This window comes from Homo sapiens, chromosome 11 (genome assembly GCF_000001405.40).
Source record: "Homo sapiens chromosome 11, GRCh38.p14 Primary Assembly".
NCBI classification, from domain to species: domain Eukaryota; kingdom Metazoa; phylum Chordata; class Mammalia; order Primates; family Hominidae; genus Homo; species Homo sapiens.
This window is the reverse complement of record NC_000011.10, coordinates 75,081,753-75,102,559: the sequence shown is the minus strand read 5'-3', so window position 1 is coordinate 75,102,559 and position 20,807 is coordinate 75,081,753. Positions and strand designations below refer to the sequence as shown.

The window sequence follows — 20,807 nt, the reverse complement described above, 5'->3', positions numbered from 1 at the left end:
AATAAAACCTCTATCACTGAATGCTACTTCCACATATATGTGGAAATTAAACAAGAGACTTCTAAATAACCAATGGGTAAAAGAATAACAAGGGAAATTAGAAAATAATTTGAGATGAATGAAAATGAACACACAACATGCCCAAATTTATGGGATACAGCTAAAGCAGTACAGAGAGGGAAATTTATAGCTGTAAACACCTATATTAAAAAGAAAACAAATCTCAAGTCAGTACCCTAACTGTTTATCTTTAGAAATTAAAAAAGAAAAGCAAACTCAACTCAAACAAGAAGTGGGCATAAAATAACAAAGATTAGAACAGAAATAAATGAAATAGAGAATAGAAAAATAAAGAAAATCAACAAAACCAAAGTTGGTTCCTTGACTATATCAATAAAACTGTTAAAACTTTAGCCTACCAATATAAAAAGAGATAAGACTCCCATTACTAAAATCAGAAGTGAAAGAGGGGACATTACTATAGACCATATGGAAATAAATAAGAAATGTTAAAGGAACAGATCACCACTCAATATCAGAAACAAAAGGCTGAATGTATCACTAGTGTAAGCACAGGATGCTATGGTTTATGATATAGTCTGTTTTTGAGAAACACAGGGAGCTGATCTTACACAGGGCTGTGGAAAATGTGGAGATCTGGGGTTGGTGGACTTTCAAAGGTGGGAGTGTTTAGGGATTAGTTTGCTTTTAGCTATGGAAGTGTGGTTACTGGAGTTAAACCATTGCTGAGTGGCTTTTAGATTCCCTGACTTTCAGAAGTGTGGGTACTGGCTCAAAGCTGTGATTAAACAATTAAGTATGTTTCTTTGTTTGTTTTTTGAGGTTTTTGGGAAACAGAGTCTCACTCTGTTGCCCAGGCTGGAGCGCAGTGGTGTAATCTCGGCTCACTGCAACCTCCACCTCTTGAGTTCAAGCAATTCTCATGCCTCAGCCTCCTGAGTAGCTGGGACCACGGGTGCACACCACCACGCCCAGCTAATTTTTTTTTTTTTTTTTTGTATTTTCGTAGAGACGGGGTTTCAGCTATGTTGCCCAGGCTGTTCTCAAACTCCTGAGCTCAGGCAATCCACCCACGTTGGCCTCCCAAAGTGCTGAGATTACGGGTGTGAGCCACCATGCCCAGCCAGTTAAGCATGTTTTAAACAAGTTCTGATCATTGTTACTATGGCTATAGAAAAGCCAGTCATTTCCTAGCAGGATGAGGAGAGTTTTATTCTTAGAGGTAATAAAAGAAATCCTATTTTATCCCATAATGTTATAAAAGTAAGTCTTAGAATGTTGGCTTTTTATACAAAGAAATCTCAGCCAACAGTTTTACTCTCTATTTTGGTTCATTCTCTTTAGTAAAACAAAATAGGAAATCCAAAAGGATTCTAAATTTTAGTTTTTGTTTGTTTTCTCCTACTTATTGCAATTCTCTTAACTGTTGCACTCCATATGGGTTATTTCAGCCCAAGTGCCCAAGTCTTTTAGTTACTTTCATACATAACATCTCGAAAGCCTTAAGTCATTCTTATGCCGCCAAAAGATGGCTTTTTAAGGCTTATTAGGGATCTCATCACGTCTAAGAAATGGAAAACAGAACAAAAGAATCCACCTAACCACCTGGTGATTTTGCAGGATTCTTTGCCTTTAACTTAAGAGAGCTTAGTCTTCTCCCCCAGAAACATCTTTAGCACTTACCTTTATGGCACCAAAGCGAAGATCCACATAAATTTATCCCAAACCAAAATTCTTCTCTTTAGCAAGTAGTGAGTAGATCCAGACAGGAGGAGACAGCACATACAGTTCTGCTTGTGATTCAAAGAAACTTCCCAAACCATCTTTAGCTCCATCATGAAGTTTATCAGGTCAGGAGAGGGCTGTAACCTCTGTTGTACCATGTTTTCATTTCCATCGTGTTCTGTACTCAGCTGCTAAGGACTTAGTAACCTCCCAGTCTGCAGTTGAAAGTCTACAGTCTGCAGAGGTCTAATAGGGAAGTCTCTTCTGCAGGCTGAAATGAACCCTTCATGCATGGGTTTTCCCCTGGTCCTGGGCAGAAGCATCAGGCCGGGTGTAACAGGGTCATCTCAGTCATCACTGTGACTCAGCATCCTCAAAGCTTCTGGGTTTGAAGCTGGGATAGTCCCTGCACATGCACACCCCATTCCATTTGAAAATGTGCTGACTGCTTGGCCCAGAAGTTCTACTTCTAAGGATCTGTCTATCTCCGAGAAATATTTGAGCACATGTGACCCCAAATGCATGTTAAAAGGAAATTAATTATAATAGTTTTCATAATAGCAAGAATGAGATAGAACTTAAATGTTCATCAACAGATGAGTTATTAGACAAACTATGTTGTATCTGTACTACAAAATGCCAAATATCAGATACAAAAAAATGAAGTAGATCAGACACAGAAAAATTCCTAGACTTATTAAATTAAAATATGCTATACAATAAATACAGAATGATTCAATTTACATTAAAAGAAAAGCAAAACCATACACACATACACAAACACATGCGCTTAGAAAAGTCTGGAAGAAACACACCAAATCAGTAATAATGTTTACTTCTGGAGCATGGAGGAAAAATGTGGGTAAGAATTGGTGTGAAGAAGACTAACTAACTCTTCTTTCTTTTCTTTCTTCCTTCCTTTCTTTCTGACAGGATCTCACTCCATTGTTAAGACTGGAGGAAAAATATGGGTAAGAATTGGTGTGAAAAAAAACTTTCTCTCTCTTTCTCTCCCTCCCCTCCCTCCCTTCCCTTCCCTCCCTTCCTCCCTTCCCTCCCTCCCTCCCTTCCCCCACTCCCTTCCCTCCCTTCCTCCCTTCCCTCCCTCCCTTCCCCCACTCCCTTCCCTCCCTCCCTCCCTTCCCCCACTCCCTTCCCTCCCTTCCCCCCTTCCCCCCTTCCACCACTCCCTTCCTTCCTGGGTCTCACTCCATTGCTAAGGCTAGAGTGCAGAGGCACAGCTGTGGCTCACTGCAGCCTGAACTTCCCAGGCTCAGGTGTTTCTCCTGCCTCAGCTTCCCTGGTAGCTGATGGGTCCGGAATTGGTGGGTTCTTGGTCTCACTGACTTCAAGAATGAAGCCACGGACCCTCGCGGTGAGTGTTACAGCTCTTAAGGTGGCGCGTCTGGAGTTTGTTCCTTCTGACGTTCGGATGTGTTGGGAGTTTCTTCCTTCTGGTGGGTTGGTGGTCTCACTGGCTCAGGAGTGAAGCTGCAGACCTTCGCGGGGAGTGTTACAGTTCTTAAGGCGGCGCATCTGGAGTTGTTCGTTTCTCCCGGTGGGCTAGTGGTCTCACTGGCTTCAGGAGTGAAGCTGCAGACCTTCGTGGTGTTACATCTCTTAAGGCAGCGCATCTGGAGTTGTTCGTTCCTCCTGGTGGGCTTGTGGTCTCGCTGGCTTCAGGAGTGAAGCTGCAGACCTTCGCGGTGAGTGTTACAGCTCATAAAAGCAGTGTGGACCCAAAGAGTGAGCAGTAGCAAGGTTTATTGCAAAGAGCGAAAGATCAAAGCTTCCATAGTGTGGAAGGGGACCTGAGCGGGTTGCCACTGCTGGCTCGCGCAGCCTGCTTTTATTCTCTTACCTGGCTCCACCCACATCCTGCTGATTGGTAGAGCCCAGTGGTCTGTTTTGACAGGGCGCTGATTGGTGCGTTTACAATCCCTGAGCTAGACACAAAGATTCTCCAAGGCCCCACCAGAGCAGCTAGATACAGAGTGTCCATTGGTGCATTCGCAAACCCTGAGCTAGACACAGGGTGCTGATTGGTGTGTTTACAAACCTTGAGTTAGATACAGAGTGCCGATTGGTGTATTTACAATCCCTGAGCTAGACATAAAGGTTCTCCACGTCCCCACCAGACTCAGGAGCCCAGCTGGCTTCACCCAGTGGGTCCCGCACCGGGGCTGCAGGTGGAGCTGCCTGCCAGTCCCGGAGCCATGCGCCCACACTCCTCGGCCCTTGGGTGGTCGATGGGACTGGGTGCTGTGGAGCACGGGGCAGCACTCATCGGGGAGGCGGGGGCCGCACAGGAGCCCAGGGAGGGGGTGGGAGACTCAGGCATGGCGGGCTGCAGGTCCCGAGCCCTGCCCCGCGGGAAGGCAGCTAAGGCCCAGAGAGAAATCGAGCACAGCGCCAGTGGGCTGGCACTGCTGGGGGACCCAGTACACCCTCCACAGCCGCTGGCCCGGGTGCTAAGCCTCTTATTGCCTGGGGACAGCAGGGCCGGCCGGCTGCTCTGAGTGTGGGGTCCGCCAAGCCCACGCCCACCCAGAACTCCAGCTGGCCTGCAAGCGCAGGCGCAGCCCTGGTTCCCACTCGCGCCTCTCTCTCCACACCTCCCTGCAAGCTGAGGGAGCCGGCTCCGGCCTTGGCCAGCCCAGAAAGGGGCTCCCACAGTGCAGCGGTGGGCTGAAGGGCTCCTCAAGTGCCGCCAAAGTGGGAGCCCAGGCAGAGGAGGCACCGAGAGCGAGCGAGGGCTGTGAGGACTGCCAGCACGCTGTCACCTCTCACTGAGACTACAGGTGCATGCCACCATGCCCAGCTAATTTTTTTGTATTTTTCAGTAGAGATAGAGTTTTGCCAGTTGTCCAAGCTGCTCTCTTACTCCTGGACTCAAGAGATCCTCCCCCTTCGGCCCGGCAAAGTGCTGGGATTACAGGCGTGAGCCACCACACCCGGCCTAGAACTTTCACTTTTGACTCAGTAAAGCTCTGTATTGATTAAAATGTTCTACAATGAGGTTCTGTTTATTACTTGTGAAATTAAAAAAAAATTAAAATTTTATGAGTATTAGTAGGAGTGACCAAGTCAGTCAAGTCAGAAACAGAACACTGGAGCCAAAGGAGAGAATCAGAAAGATTGAGGCAGGAAGAGTCTGTGACTCTTGACTTTGTCCTGTATGGGGTTGGGGCAGAGACTTCCACCCTCACATTCTTTCCACAAAACCTTTGCAAGTTCTCATTGCACAGCAGCGGAAGTATCACATACTCATTGAACAAGGCTTTACTGCTTTGGTCCATTAAAATAATAGCTCCCACTTATTGAATGCCTAATAAGTGGCAGGAACTGGGTGAAGCACCTCAACCTGCCCAGTTATCCTGTGAGAGAGTTAGTGTCGTTATACCCATTCCACAGATGACAAAATGAAGACCCAGTGAGGTTAAGGGATTTGTTCAAAGTCATATTACTGGGAATAACTCGGGTCTTAGTCATTAGATAACATGTTGCTGAACCACTGAACCAGAATTGGAGCCTTGGGTACAAATCCCAGCTCTGCCACCAGCCACTCATATGACCTTGGGCAAGTCACCTCACTTCTCTAGATCTCAGTTTCCTCAAATGTAAAATAGTGGAAATAATCCTGACTCTGCCTGTCTTCCCTGGCTATTGTGAGGACCAGATGGGAAAACAGGAATAATACTGGTGATAAAGTTCTGGGACCCATGAGGGTTGTTAATGATGTTGTTTTCATTATCAGCAAAGCCCAGAACAAAGTCCCCCACTCCACCCTCGGAAGTTGTTCTCAGCTGACTGGCAGTTATCTGGTCCCACGGGTGAGCCTTCTTGTGGGGAGAGAGCCCCAGCAGGCCTGGTTGCAGAGAGGGGCCCGAGGGTTTAAAGGGCCATGGTTGAGTTTCTACCTGGCTCTTCCCAACCAAGGCCAACTGTGACGACTCTACACAAGACATCAAGGCGGACCAGGATTGGTAGGTGAGCTGGGCTGGGGATGGAGTGCGCAGAGCAGGCAGAGACTGGGATGGGGAGATAGGCTCAGGGAGGTTGGGGGCATGTACAACCACAGTAAAGATCCTGGGAATGTCAGGGTCCCAGGATCCAAGTCAACCACGCAGTCAGCCTGGGTGAGTGTAGACCAGACACCCTCGCAGGCAGGGGCAGGGCTGTGCAGTCACAAGCAAGAGGCTAATGATCTTGGAAGAGAATTCCTCACAAGGAGGCAAAGCTGATGACGATAAGAGAAATGGGAATAATTTGTGAGGGAATTGCAGTCCATTGGAGGAAAGCACAAAGTGGTGGAGCCAGGAAGGAAACTCAGGCCTTTCTAACTGCAAAGTTAATAGACCTAGATTCTGTGCTTCACGTATATCCTGCTCCTTTTCTATGGAAACAGTGCAGGATGGTGAGAATATCATGAGAGAACTGCATGAGTTTGGGCGTCGTAATGATGTGTAATGACTGTAAAGAATCAAGCAGGCAACAGAAGCTTAACAAATGAGAGCGCCCTTGCTCTCCTTCCTAAGAGGCTGAGGCCATGACACATCTGTCTTCGAATCTCTCATTTATCTAAACACAGAGTAGATACTCAAAATATTTATCAAGCTGGAGATCATTGCTTCCAAAGTCCTCATTTTATAGATGGGAAAACTGAGGCTCAGAGACCCAGCATCACAGCAAGAGAGTGGCAGAGCTGGTCCAGGAGAGCTCAAGGTGAGTTGATAATCTAGCTCTGTTGACAGTCTAGTTCTAGTTCTATCACCCACTTACTGTGTGACCTTGGGAAAGTCACAGCCCATTTCTGGGACTCCCTTTTCTGTCCCCATCTATATAATAAAGAGGTTAGGTGAAATGCCAGCACTTTGGGAGGCCGAGGCGGGCAGATCACTTGAGATCAGGACTTCAAGACCAGCCTGGCCAACATGGTGAAACACCATCTCTACTAAAAATACAAAAATTAGCCGGACATGGTGGCAAGCGCCTGTAATCCCAGCTACTCGGGAGGTTGAGGCATGAGAATCGCTTGAACCCGGGAGGCAGAGGTTGCAGTGAGCCGAGATCGTGCCACTGCACTCCAGCCTGGGTGATAGAGCAAGACTCAATCTCAAAAAAAAAAAAAAAAAAGAGGTTAGGTGAAAACTATTTAATCACTAATGGCCCCTTCATTCCTATTTGATGATTTATCAGCAAAACAAGGCAAGTTGGAAAGCTGCATTCCAGAGCACTAAGCTCCTGGGAAGGATGGTGCAGTATCAAATAGAAACGATCAGACCCCATTACTGCTCTGAAAGTGCTCCTGGTGTGGTGGACACATAAATAGACAGAGACAACCTGGTGTAATCATAATAATGACAAACAGAAGCACAGGAACTTCAAGAGCCCAGGAAAGAGGCTCCTGAGCCAGCCAGGACCATAGAAGATCTCTTGGAGGAAGTAATATTTGAGCTGAATTTGGCAGAAGCACAAGGCAAGAGCAAGGAGTTGCCATTTGACTAGAATAAGGAGAAACAAGGCTGCAAGAAGACAGGCTTTGAATAGCAGGCTAAGGAATCATCCTCTCTCATGAAACATCCTACAAAGACTGGGTGGGAGCCAGGACACCGGCTTTAAAACCTACTTCTGCTATGAATTTGTTGGTTGACCTTGAAAAGACACTATTTCTGGACTTCAGACTCAGCATCTGTCTCCCTGCTGTTTAATAGAAGTGAGGGAGGAGGTGGGAAGAGAGGCTCAGTCAGGCTTGACGGCTCTGAATTTCTCCCCTCAAACCCCAATTCAGCCTAACTCGGTGGCATTCAATCCATAATTGACTTCTCTGAGCTGTAACAACGTTCAGAATAAGGTAGTTTGCATCTCTTTGGGTATTAGAAAAACCTGGTGATTTGCTTAGGCAGGTTGGGTCTGTTAACTGAGGGTTATCTCTTAAGTGGAGGTGCAGCAGTTTTGCTTTCCTGCTTGTGTAATTGGGGCCGAACTGTAGAATACTCTTTCAAGGGAGCATTCACAATGGAGTGGTCTGTCCCATGTGTCTTTTTGTTTATTTGTTTTGTTTAAAAGACAGGGTCTCCCTCTGTTGCCCAGGCTGGGGTGCAGTGGCATGATTATAGCTCACTGCAGTCTTGAACTCCTGGGCTCAAGTGATCCTCCTGCCTCAGCCTTCTGAGTAGTGAGACCACAGGCACAAGCCACTGTACTTGGCTAGTTTTAAAATTTTTTTGTAGAGACAGGGTCTTGCTATGTTGCCCAGGCTGGCCTCAAACTCCTGGTCTCAAGCAATTCTCCCACCTTGGTCTCCCAAAGTTCTGGGATTACAGGTGTGAACCCCTGTGCCCTGCCTCATATGTCTTTTAGAAAGACATTATACCTGCCTTCACTCTCTGACAGAAAACCAGCCCACCCCACACTTAGGAAACTAAAGAACAAACTCTGAAATTTGTAGTTTGCTGCTGACAATATCAGCCAAATATATGGAGAAGGAAAGAGAAAACCTTTGCCCCAGTCTCTCCCCTCATGAAAATTTGAGCTTCCAGATTCTCCAGGGAACCGACGATAGAAGAATGCTGCTCTGGGGGTTAGAGCCTGGGCTCCAGTCCTATCTCTGTGGCTCGCCGGCCATGACAGTATGGGAAAGCCCTGGATCTTTTTGTCTTTTGCCCTTTCTATATTAAAAGAAAAAGCTGGCTGGGTGCGGTGGTTCACGCCTGTAATCCCAGCTCTTTGGGAGGCTGAGGCAGGTGGATCACTTGAGGTCAGGAGTTCGAGACAAGCCCAGCCAACATGGTGAAACCCCGTCTCTGCTAAAAATACAAAAACTAGCTGGGCATGATGGCACATGCCTGTAATCCCAGCTACTCAGGAGGCTGAGGCACACGAATCACTTGAACCCGGGAGGGCAGAGGTTGCAGTGAGCCGAGCTTGTACCACTGCACTCCAGCCTGGGTGGCAGAGCAAGACTCTGTCTCAAAAAAAAAAAAAAAAAAAAAAAAAAAAAGAAAAAGAAAAAGAAAAAAAAGAAAAGAGAAAAGGAAAAGCCGCCTGGATATTTCCAGGTTTGGAATTTTTTATGATTCAATGGCATGAGAGATATTTTATTAGAGGTAAGAAAAATAGGGAAAATCAGAGAGAAGGTAATCATCAGATCATCAGGTAATCATCTTGGAATCATCAGGGTCAAGAGACAATGATGTAAACATAAACGTGAACTTCCTCCTGGATTGTTTATTCAGAGAGACATCCCCAACAGAGTAGAGCAGTCAATATTCTCCCTCAGTTAAAGATCTCCGGTTCTGTGGGAGGACAAAAGCACACATCTCTTCTTCCTTGACAGGGGGAGAACAACCTCTAGAATGGGGTCTTCTGCCTTTGGGCACTTGTCACAAGACGACTTGTTCTCTAGCAACAATGGCTCCCAAGACTCCCAAGTTTTCAGACTCCTGTAGTACTGTCTTATCTGGGGCTAGGGAAGACTACAGGATAGTGATAATGAAATGGTTAATCAGAAACACCTGCTGAACAGCGTAGCTGATAGGAGAGATGAAAAGTCATGCTCTTACAGAGGGACATCCTCCAATCTCTGTTTCTGCTATTGGGTAGAATACACCTTTAACTTAGATTCCAACCTGGAAGCAAGTCCTCTCACAAAAGGCATCTTTTGCCATTCCTTTTATTGTAATATGACAAAAAACATTTATTTATTTATTTTTGAGACAGAGTCTTGCTCTGTTGCCAGGCTGGAGTGCAATGACGTGATCTCGGCTCACTGCAACCTCCACCTCCCAGGTTCAAGCGATTCTCCTGCTTCAGCCTCCTGAGTAGCTGGGATTACAGGCGTGTGCTACCATGCCCAGCTAATTTTTCTATTTTTAGTACGGACGAGGTTTCACCATGTTGGTCAGGCTGGTCTCAAACTCCTGACCTCATGATCCGCCCGCCTCAGCCTGCCAAAGTGCTGGGATTGCAGGCATGAGCCACTGCACCTGACCTTATCTTTTTTTTTTTAATCTTATTTTTCATTTTTAAATTTTTTTGTAGAGACAGGGTTTTGCCATGTTGCCCAGGCTGGTCTCAAACTCCTGTGATCTGCCTGCCTCAGCCTCCCAAAGTATTAGGATTACAGGTGTGAGCCACCATGCCCAGCCTAACAAAAGCCATTTAGATGAACATCAGAAACAGAAAAATTTAATCCATGGTGACAGAAGTCACAACAATAGCTACATTGGGGGTAGCAGAATTTATTGGATCAGGTGCAAGGGAGCTTTCTGGGTTGCTGGAAATGTGCTATATCTTTAGCTGCATCACTAGCTGATCTATATCTCTACATAGATTTATATTTATATCTATAGATATCTATATATTATCTATCCCAAATATTTTTGGGCTTTATTGCACGTGAGTACCTTAAACAAATGAACAAACAAAAATAGCTGAATACCTTGTCTTACCTCTTGGTTATATATCCTGATGTGAAATTGCTAAGTCATAAGTTTAAGAAGATGTTGCCACACTGTTATCCGAAGTGGTTGTACTAGTTACCATCAATGTATGAAGGTACCAGTTACTACATATCTTACCAACACTTGCGGTCCTTTTAAGTTTAGCCATTTTAGTGAGTATGTATTATTAACATCCTGTATTTTAATTTACATCTCTAGATGGCTAATTTTTTCATATGCTTATTGGCCATTTGGATGTTCTCTTTTGTAAAGTGCCCACCTATTCAAGTCTTTCACCCATTTGTCCATTAGGTCATCTGTCTTTTTCTTACTTGTCAAGGTTTTTATATATACTGGATACATGGCCTTTGATAAATGTATTGAAAATAGGAAAATATCTTCTCCTAGTCTGGTTCCTGCCTTTTCTTATTCTCTTTGTATTGTATTTATTATTGTCTTTTTTGAGCGAAGTAAAATTTACTCAGAAGATAATGAGCAGATCTTATGTATACAATTCAATAAACTTTCGTAAACATACATGTAACCAAAACTCAACTCAATACATAGAACATTTCTATCACCCCAGAAAGTATGCTCTTGCCTGCTTCTTGTCAGTCCTCACACCCATAGACAATCACTGTACTGATTTATAATATCATAGATTAGTTTTGCCTGTCACTTAATATCAATTAAGTCATACCGTATCAAATATCAAATAAGTATACAGAAGATATACTCTTCTATCTCTGGGCTTAATTTTAGACATTTTCTACTGATCTATTTTGCAGGTCTCTAATCCTGTCTTCTATTGTGTCCAGTTTGCTATTATACCTATCCAGTGAGTTCTTAATTTCAAATATTGGATATTTCTGTTCTAGAATATTTGCTTGGTTCTTTTTAAAATAGATTCCAATTTTCTATTGAAATTGCCCATTTTAAAATCCATTTTGTCAACATTTCCTCTATTTTCTTTAATATATAAACATAGTTATACTAGAGTCCTTGTTTGCTAACTCAGGTAATGGGATCATCTGTATGTCAACTTTTATTGTGTATTTTCCCTCTTGATTGTTGGTCACATTTTCCTGCCTTTTGCAATAATTCGTGTTGTGCACCGAATATTATTTATATTAGATTCACAGAGGCCCCAGATGATGTCTCTCATCAGACAGATTCCTCCCTTCTCTTTGTTAGGCAGGTAGAGTAAGGTAGGCTGGCTACCTAAAGCCAGTTAAGGCTTGAGTTAGGTTAGGGCTGAGTTTCAGTTCTAGTAAAATTTAGTCCAACTTTGGTTTGTTCTTGTTCTTAAGGTATGACCCTCCTGAGTTGTGGGCTGATAGTCTGGTTGATCCTTATCTCCTCACCCCGGAAGGAGTGTGGGAGATTTGCATCTACCCTTTGGTGGTTTGGAGCTTAATTCGTTAGCCGCATTCCCCATCCCTCCTTTCCCCCCGCCCACTACATACACACATAGCTTCAAATCTTTGTAAAATGTTTTGAGAGGAAATACCAGTGTGTGTGTGAGGAAATCCCTCTTCCTCTATTCTCTTAAGCATCATGGGATCATGGGAGATTTTGTTTTGTCTTTTAGAGGCCCTCAGCACAGCTTTCTAGCCTCCCTTGCATAGCCAGAATTCAGAAGATGTCCCACAGGGAAAACTTGTTATGCATTTAGAGTGCCTCAAATTTCCAGTATGTTTTGTAAGCCTTTTTTGACTATCACAAGTCTTACTGGTTTCTCTTTCTCTCATCTATGACTCTCTGCCTGGTCCAAGTCTAAGCCACATCATGGTCCCCAAATCAAATATTCCCAGAGAACAAAAGAGCTGGTGATTATTAGTTAACTTTGGAGGGTCCCCACCCATTGGAGTTTGCCTTCATCTCATCCTTATGGCACCCATATTCCTCAATTTGTTTAAAAATGTGATTTGTGTAATTTATCCAGGTTTCCCTAATCATTGCAGTGAAAGTGTTGGGCTATCATGGTCTATTATATCCAATACAGGAGCAGAAGTCCAGACACCTAGCTTAAATGGAGTCAGAAAGAACCACTAGTCAAGGCATACAAGAAAGAAACTTAATAAGAGTGTGAGCAGCTGCATAGTACACACAGCCTTGGAGAAAGAAGCCCCTCAATGGAACATGATGGAACTTTGAGTGAGTACAAAAGTAGAGACATGAGCTTAAGGACTTGATTTATGAGATCTGACATCAACTTAAACCACACAGCATGGAAACTAAGATGAAGACCAGAAGAAGCCTTTCCAAAGCACTTTCACAATTATAATTCAACAATCAACTGTTTAGATCTGATTTTCCCAGTAAAATATAAACTCTGGGAAGACAGGAACTTTGCCTGCCTTCTTCAATTTGATCACTTCATCACCTAAACAAAGCATACAGACTTCTATTTGGTTGGTTATTAATTAATTAATAATCAATATTTGACAAATTTTGCGTTCACATGGCAAAAGTCAATACCATAGCCCCTCATCAGTCCTCTACAGTTGGTTGTAAATAATTCTGCTTATATTACCTACAGAGTAAACATTATAGCATTATCACTCCAGAATCCTTTGTTTCTATGGTTTCCAGATGTTTCCAATGTCTAGATGTTCCAGCTGCCCATCTCTGAGAAATCCAGCTGTGTCTCACAATGGATGCCACAGCCTGTAATGAATCAGTGGATGGCTCACCCGTCTTCTATCTATTGGGCATCCCCTCTCTGCCAGAGACCTTCTTCCTCCCTGTGTTTTTTATTTTCCTCCTCTTCTACCTTCTCATCCTGATGGGTAATGCCCTGATCCTGGTGGCCGTGGTGGCAGAGCCCAGCCTCCACAAGCCCATGTACTTCTTTCTGATCAATCTCTCCACCTTGGACATCCTTTTCACCACAACCACTGTCCCCAAGATGCTGTCCTTATTCTTGCTTGGGGACCGCTTCCTCAGCTTTTCTTCCTGCTTACTGCAGATGTACCTCTTCCAAAGTTTTACATGTTCAGAAGCCTTCATCCTGGTGGTCATGGCCTATGACCGCTATGTGGCTATCTGCCACCCACTGCACTACCCTGTCCTCATGAACCCACAGACCAATGCTACCTTGGCAGCCAGTGCCTGGCTAACTGCCCTCCTCCTGCCCATCCCAGCAGTAGTAAGGACCTCCCAGATGGCATATAACAGCATTGCCTACATCTACCACTGCTTCTGTGATCATCTGGCTGTGGTCCAGGCCTCCTGCTCTGACACCACCCCCCAGACCCTCATGGGCTTCTGCATCGCCATGGTGGTGTCCTTCCTCCCCCTTCTCCTGGTGCTTCTCTCCTATGTCCACATCCTGGCCTCAGTGCTTCGCATCAGTTCCCTAGAAGGACGGGCAAAAGCCTTCTCCACCTGCAGCTCCCACCTTCTGGTCGTGGGCACCTACTACTCATCTATTGCCATAGCCTACGTGGCCTACAGGGCTGACCTGCCCCTTGACTTCCATATCATGGGCAATGTGGTATATGCCATTCTCACACCAATTCTCAACCCCCTCATTTACACGCTGAGAAACAGGGATGTAAAGGCAGCCATCACCAAAATCATGTCTCAAGACCCAGGCTGTGACAGGAGCATTTGACCTTTAAATGCAGCTAACTCTGCTTCCAGGACACCAAATAACAGTGCTTAGCACAGAGAAAGGACTCAATACATGATAATGAAATAATGTTAATTTTTATTGGAATCTTAAGTTGTTGTATAAAATTTTACTACTTAGTAATTCAAGAAACCTTTACTAAAATAAAAAAAAAATCTTCATGGCAAAAAATTCTTAAAAGCAAAGTCAAAAAACAAATAAAAAACGTATCACAGGGAAAGGCAAATATTCATATTATACAAAGAATGTAGAAGATTGAAATAAACATTTCAATAAAAACATGGGCAAAATATATGTGTAGACAAATAAAAAAAAATGCAGTGGCCTTTAAATAATGAGTATTTACTATATAAAAAGAATACGAATTTAAATTGTGCTGAAATGTTATTTTTCACTTAATCAGATTAGCAGATTAGCAAAAATCCAATATTTTGACAATATGCATGTAGAAAAACAGAACTTTTATAACTTGCTTGTGAGGATGCAAACTGGTATAACACTACCGCAATACCTACCAAAATTACATATGCATTTACCCTTTGACTCAGCAGTATCACTTCTAGGGATCTATCCCGAGGAGTCACCATCAATCATTCATTAGGTTACGTATTCATCACTATACAGGGAACTGATTGAATAAACCATAAAAATGCATGATGCAGTAATAAAAAGGAAATAAGGAAGCTCTCTACTGATATGATATCATCTCTAGGATATGTGTTAAGTGAAAAAAAGCAAGCTGCAGAAAAGTGTTTTTGTAAGAAAGGAGATAGTTTGCTTAAAATTTCAGGAAAAAACTAGAGGGAAAATGTGAACTCATAAAGATGGTTATCTATAAGGAGAGGCAAGGAACAGGAAGGAGAGGACCAGAATGGAAGCAAGTCTAGACATATGTAATTATTTTTACATAGTTCAAAGAAATCAGAAAGAAAAACCCCACAATTCCCTCAATTTAAAATAAACAGAAGCACTTGACCCTGGCTGTCTCTCAAGTTAGTGGCATGACCACAAAGAAAATTACTGTAAGTGACTTTTACACAATGTTTTGACTATACATCCTAAAAGGGATGTATTAAAAGGACAAGAAAAATCACATCTTAAACTACATTGAGGAGTTTTTGTTGTTGTTGTTGTTTGTCTGTTCTGAGAAGAGGCCTTGCTCTGTCACCCAGGCTGGAGTGCAGTGGCGCTATCTCGGCTCATTGCAGCCTTGACCGCTAGGGCTCAAGTGATCCTCCCACCTCAGCTCCCTGAGTAGCTGGGACCACAGGCACATGCACCACTACCCCCAGCTAGAGTAGTTTTAAAAACATGAATATTATAGTTTTACTTCTTTAATATATATTAGATAAATTATATGTTCGTATAACCAAAACCATTTTTATCATTTTATTTTACCATGCATGGTTTTATATTTACAGAGAGTTTCAAAGATAGTATGAGAGTTCCCATATATCCTTCACCTAACTTCCTCTGTGTCAACATCTTACATAACCATGATACATTTATCAAAAGTAAGAAGTTAACATTTGTAAAATACGTACTATTAATTATACTAGAGACTTTATTCAAATTTCTCCAGTTTTTCCAGTAATGTCTTCTTTCCATTCCAGGATCCAATCAGAATGCCACATTGCATTTTATTATATCTTCTTAGTTGCCTGACATTTTATTGGTCTTTCCTTATCTTTCATGACCTTGACACTTTTGAAGAGTCAATAGTAAATTTAAATGCATATGGCTAAGTGAAAGAAGCCAATCTAAAAAGGTTACATAATGTATGATTTTAACTGTATGACATTCTGGAAAAGGCAAAACTATGAAGACAGTAAAGAGCTCAGGGGCTGCCAGGGAGACTAGGAGAAGGGAGGGATTAATAGGCAGAACACGGAGGGCTTTTAGGACAGTGAAACTATTCTGTATGATACTATAATGGTGGATACATGTTATATATTTGTCAAGACTCATAGAATGTACTACACCAAGTGTATACTATGGGCTTTGGGTCATAATGATGTGTCAATGTAGGCTTGAATGTAACAAATGTAACCACTCTGGTGGGGGATGTCATTCTAACAGGTATGTAGTGGTATCTTATTGTGGTTGTAATTTAATTTAATTACATTTCCCTATGACTAATTGTGTTGACCATCTTTCATGTGCTCATTTTCTATCCATATATCTTTTTTGGTGAAGTCTGTCCAGATCTTTTGCCTGCTTTTTAATCCAGGTTGTTTGTTTTCATACCATTGAATTTCAAGTGTTCTTTGTATATTCTAGGTACAAATTCATTATTAGATATTTGATATACAAGTAGTTTCCCCAGTCAATGACTAGCCTTTGAATTCGCTTACAGTGTCTTTTGCAGAGCAGAGGTTTTCAATTTTGATAAAGCCTAACTTATCATTTTTCCCTTATGGATTATGCTGTTTGATAACATATCTAAATACTCATCACCAAACCAAAGGTCATGCAGATTTTGCCCTATAGAAAACGAAGTTTCTAGAAGTTTTCTATTTTTGATTTCATTCTATGAACAATTTTGAGTTAATTCTTGGGTAAGGTGTGAGGTTTAGGTTGAGATTCTTTTTTTGTGTGCATATGAACATACAATCATTCCAGCACCATTTGTTATAAACCATTCTTTATCTATCAAATTGCCTTTACACTTTTGTCAAATATCAGTTGATTATATTTGTGTGTATCTATTTGTGGGCTCTCTATTCTGTTCCACTGATATATATGTCTATCCTTTACCGATACCACACGGTCTTGAATACTGTAGCTTTATAGTCAATGTTGAAATTCCATAATGTGACTCCTCTGACTTTATTAATTTTTTTGCAGTTGTTTGGTTATTCTAGTTCCTTTGCTTTTTGATATAAATTTTAGAACCAAGTTACTGGGATTTGGGGAGGGGAGGGACTATGTTAAATCTATAGATTAAATTTGGGACAGTTGTCATTTTAACAATGTCGAGTCTTCCATTCCATGAATATAATATATCTCTCCATTTACTTAGCTCTTTAATTTTATTCATTACAAACTGCATTCCTGGGATGAACCCCATTTGGTTGTGACATGTTTTGCCCTTTATATATTACTAGATTTGACTTGTGAATATTTTGTTCAGGATTTTTGCATCAATATTTATGAGAGATACCAGAGTGTAGTTTTCTTGTAATTTCTTTGTCTGGTTTGGTATTAGATAAATGCTGGCCTCATAAAATGAATTAGGAAGCTTTCCCGTCTCTTCTACATTCTCAAAAACATTGTATAGAATTGGTGCTATTTCTTCCTTAAATATTTGGTAGAATTTGCCTGTAAAATTTCCAGGGCCTGGAATTTTCTTTCAGGAAGTTTTTAACTACAAAATTAACTATTTAATAGATATAGAAATTTTTCCATTATCTATTTCTTTTTGAATGAACTTTATAATTTCTGCCTTTTAAGAAATTTGTCCATTTTGTCCAAATTTTAGAATTTATAAACATAGAGTTGTTTGTACTGTTCCCTTATTATCCTTTTAATGTCTGTGATGTCTCCTCTTTCATTCCTAATATTGGCAATTTGTGTTTTCTGTGATTTTTTCTTGGTCAGTTTAGCTATAGGTTTACCAATTTACTGATTTTTCAAAGAATCAGCATTTAGTTTGTTTCTTCTCATTTTCCTGTTTTCAATTTTATTGATTCTTCCTCTAATCTTTATATTTTTTTTCCTTCTACATACTTTGGGTTTAATTTGATCATTTTTCTAATTTCCTGACATGGGAGATTAGATCATTGATACGAGACTTTTATTTTTCAATGTAAGCATTGAAGTCTGTACATTTCCCAATAGCTCCTGCATTAGCAACTTCACACGAATTTTAATATGTTGCATTTTTATTTTCATTTTATTCCAAATGTATTTTAAATTTCCCCTAAAACATCCTAATTGACCCATGCTTATTTCAAAGTGTTTTTATTTAATTTCAGAATATTTGGAAGATTTTCCCAATCACTTTCTGTTACTCCTGTCTAGTTTAATTCCCTTATGGTTCAAGAATATGCTTTGTATGATTACTATTGTTTAAAAAGCTTTTCTATTCTTTTAAATTTTTTTAATGGCCTATTCTTTTAAATTTTTTAGTGGCCTAAAATATGACCTACCTTGGTGAATGTTCTGTGCACCCTTGGAAGTGTATTCTGCTATTATGTGGAGTGTTCTATAAATGTCAATTAGGTCTAGTTGTTTGATAGTGCTGTTTAGACCTTCTATATCTTAACTGATTTTCTATCTGCTTGATCAATTCCTGAAAGGGAAATATTAAAGTTTCTAACAATAATTATGGATTTGTCCATTTCTCCCTTCAATTTCACCAGTTTGTAAGAAAATTTCCACTTTTTAGATTCAGGGGGTACACATGCAGGTTTGTGACATGGGTACATTTCATGATGCTGAGGTTTGGGATATGAATGATCCCGTCACCCAGATAGTGAGCATAGTACGCAGCAGGTAGTTTTACAAACCTCGCTACCCTCCCTCCACCCTCTATTAGTCCCCAGTGTCTATTGTTGCCATCTTTATGAGCATAAGTACCCAATGTTTAGCTCCCACTTATAAGTGAGAACATGCAGTACATGGTTTTCTGATCCTGTGTTAATTCGCTTAGGATAATGGGCTCCAGCTGCATCCATGATTTCATTCTTTTTTATGGCTATGTAGCATTTCATGCTGTATATGGACCAATTTTCTCCTTTTTTTTTCTTTTTTTTTTTTTGAGACGGAGTTTCGCCTTGTTGCCCAGGCTGGAGTGCAATGGCACGATCTCAGCTCACCACAGCCTCCGCCTCCCAGGTTCAAGTGATTCTCCTGCCTCAGCCTCCCAAGTAGCTGGGATTACAGGCATGTGCCACCATGCCCAGCTAATTTTGTAGTTTTAGTAAAGACGGGGTTTCTCTGTGTTGGTCAGGCTGGTCTCGAACTCCTGAACTCAGGTGATCCACCAGCCTCGGCCTCCCAAAGTGCTGGGATTACAGGCGTGAGACACTGCGCCTGGCCATATTTGGACCAATTTTCTTTACCCAGCCCACCGCTGATGGGCACCTAGGTTGAATCCATGTTTTTACTATTGTGAATACTAATGCAATGAACATATGAGTGCATGTGTCTTTTGATAGAATAACGTATTTTCTTTTGGATATATACCCAGTAATGAGATTGCTGGGTCAAATGATAGCTCTATTTTATGTTCTTTGAGAAATTGCCAAACCACTTTCCACAGTGGCTGAACTAATTTACATTCTCACCAACAGTGTATAAGCATTCCATTTTCTCTACAGCCTGGTCAGCACCTGTTCTTCTTTGACTTTAATGATAGCCATTCTGACTGGTATGAGATAATATCTCATGGTTTTGATTTGCACTTCTCTGATGATTAGTGATGTTGAGCATTTTTTCATGTCTGTTGGCTGCTTATATGTCTTCTTTTTAGAAGTGTCTGTTTATGTGTTTTGCCCACTTTTTAATGGTATTATTTGGTTTTTGCTTATTGAATTAAGTTCCTTATAGATTCTGAATACTAGACCTTTGTCAGATACATAGTTTGCAAATATTCTCTTTCTTTTCTTTCTTTTCCTTCTCTCTCCCCACCCCTCCCCCACCCTCCTTTTTTGAGACAGTCTTATTCTGTCGCCCAGGCTGGAAGGCAGTGGCGTGATCTCAGTTCACTGCAACCTTGACCTCCTGGGCCTAAGCAATCTTCCCACCCCAGCCTCCCGAGTAGCTGGAGCTACAGGCATGTGCCACCACACCTGGCTAATTTTTAAATTTCTGTAGAGACAGGTTCTCTCTATGTTGCCCAAGTGTCTCAAACTCCTGAGCTCAAGGGATCCTTCCACCTCCGCCTCCCAAAGTTCTGGGATTACAGGCGTGAGTCACTGCACCCGGCAGTTTACAAATATTTTCTCCCATTCTGTAGGTTGTCTGTTTACTCTTTTGATAGTTTCTTTCGCTGTGCAGAAACTGTTTAGTTTAATTAGGTTCCACTTGTCAATTTTCGTTTTTGTTGCAGTTGTTTTTCAGGACTTAGTCATAAATTCTTTCCCAAGGCCAATATTTAGAATGGTGTTTCCTAGGTTTTCTTCTAGGATTCTTATACTTTGAGATCTTTACATTTAAATCTTTAATCTATCTTGAGTTAATTTTTGTTTATGGTGAAAGGTAGGGGTGCAGTTTCATTCTTCTGCATATGGCTAGCCAGCTATCCTAGCACTATTTATTTATTTATTTATTTATTTTATTATACTTTAAGTTTTAGGGTACATGTGCAAAACGTGCAGGTTTGTTACATATGTATACGTGTGCCATGTTGGTGTGCTGCACCCACTAACTCATCATTTACATTAGATATATCTCCTAATGCTATCCCTCCCCACTCCCCCACCCCAGCACTATTTATTGAAGAGGGAGTCCTTTTCCCATACTTATTTTTGCTGACTTTTTTGAAGATCATATGGCTGTAGGTATGCAGCTTTATTTCTGGGTTCTGTATTCTGTTCCATTGGTCTATGTGTCTGTTCTTATGCCAATATCATGCTGTTTTGATTACTGTAGCCTTAGAGTTTCAAGTCAGGTAATGTGATGCCTCCAGCTTTGTTCTTTTTGCTTAGGATTGCTTTGGCTATTTGGGCTCTTTTTTGGTTCCATGTGAATTTAAGAATAGCTTTTTTTCTAATTCTGTGAAAAAAATGATGTTGGTAGTTTGAGAGGAATAGCATTCAATCTGTATATTGCTGTGGGCAGTATGGTCATTTTAGTGTTGTTGATTCTTCCAATTCATGAGCATGGAATGTTTGTCCATTTCTTTGTTTCATCTATAGTTTTTTCAGCAATGTTTTGAGTTCTTCTTGTAGAGATCTTTCACCTCTTTGGTTAGGTGTATTCCTAGGTTTCTTGTGCTTGTGTGTGGCTATTATAAATGGGATTGTGTATTTAAA

At 41.6% G+C, this 20,807-nt stretch overlaps 1 protein-coding gene and 1 pseudogene across 2 annotated transcripts, besides 4 other annotated features; one reads left to right on the top strand and one right to left on the bottom strand.

Annotated features, from left to right (window-relative positions):
• Positions 1,428 to 2,098, bottom strand: LOC100421207 (FA complementation group L pseudogene; annotated as a pseudogene).
• Positions 1,501 to 2,700: an enhancer, noted in NCBI's record as "P300/CBP strongly-dependent group 1 enhancer chr11:74810905-74812104 (GRCh37/hg19 assembly coordinates)". NCBI's record gives its function as "activates an origin of replication core promoter dependent on BRD2, BRD4, P300/CBP, MED14 and CDK7 cofactors, with strong dependence on P300/CBP, by STARR-seq in HCT116 cells {active_cell/tissue: HCT116}" and the evidence as "EXISTENCE:reporter gene assay evidence [ECO:0000049][PMID:35650434]".
• Positions 1,816 to 1,885: an enhancer, noted in NCBI's record as "active region_5263". NCBI's record gives its function as "activates an Ori minimal core promoter by ATAC-STARR-seq in GM12878 lymphoblastoid cells {active_cell/tissue: GM12878}" and the evidence as "EXISTENCE:reporter gene assay evidence [ECO:0000049][PMID:35858748]".
• Positions 2,156 to 2,225: an enhancer, noted in NCBI's record as "active region_5262". NCBI's record gives its function as "activates an Ori minimal core promoter by ATAC-STARR-seq in GM12878 lymphoblastoid cells {active_cell/tissue: GM12878}" and the evidence as "EXISTENCE:reporter gene assay evidence [ECO:0000049][PMID:35858748]".
• Positions 5,310 to 5,825: a transcriptional cis regulatory region, noted in NCBI's record as "candidate enhancer chr11.4261 targeted for multiplex CRISPR interference". NCBI's record gives its function as "positively regulates OR2AT4 gene expression with high confidence in K562 cells {active_cell/tissue: K562}" and the evidence as "EXISTENCE:mutant phenotype evidence [ECO:0000015][PMID:30612741]".
• OR2AT4 (olfactory receptor family 2 subfamily AT member 4) lies at positions 5,670 to 20,807 on the top strand. Of its 2 annotated transcripts, none has more exons than NM_001005285.2 (2): positions 5,670 to 5,736; positions 12,196 to 13,868. In NM_001005285.2, exon 2 carries the CDS (start codon positions 12,847 to 12,849, stop codon positions 13,807 to 13,809), a length of 963 nt encoding a protein of 320 aa, NP_001005285.1. In that variant the 5' UTR covers positions 5,670 to 5,736; positions 12,196 to 12,846; the 3' UTR covers positions 13,810 to 13,868. The 2 variants fall into 2 exon arrangements, with proteins under 2 accessions (NP_001005285.1, NP_001392781.1); NM_001405852.1 differs by having other exon boundaries at positions 5,684 to 5,732; positions 12,196 to 20,807.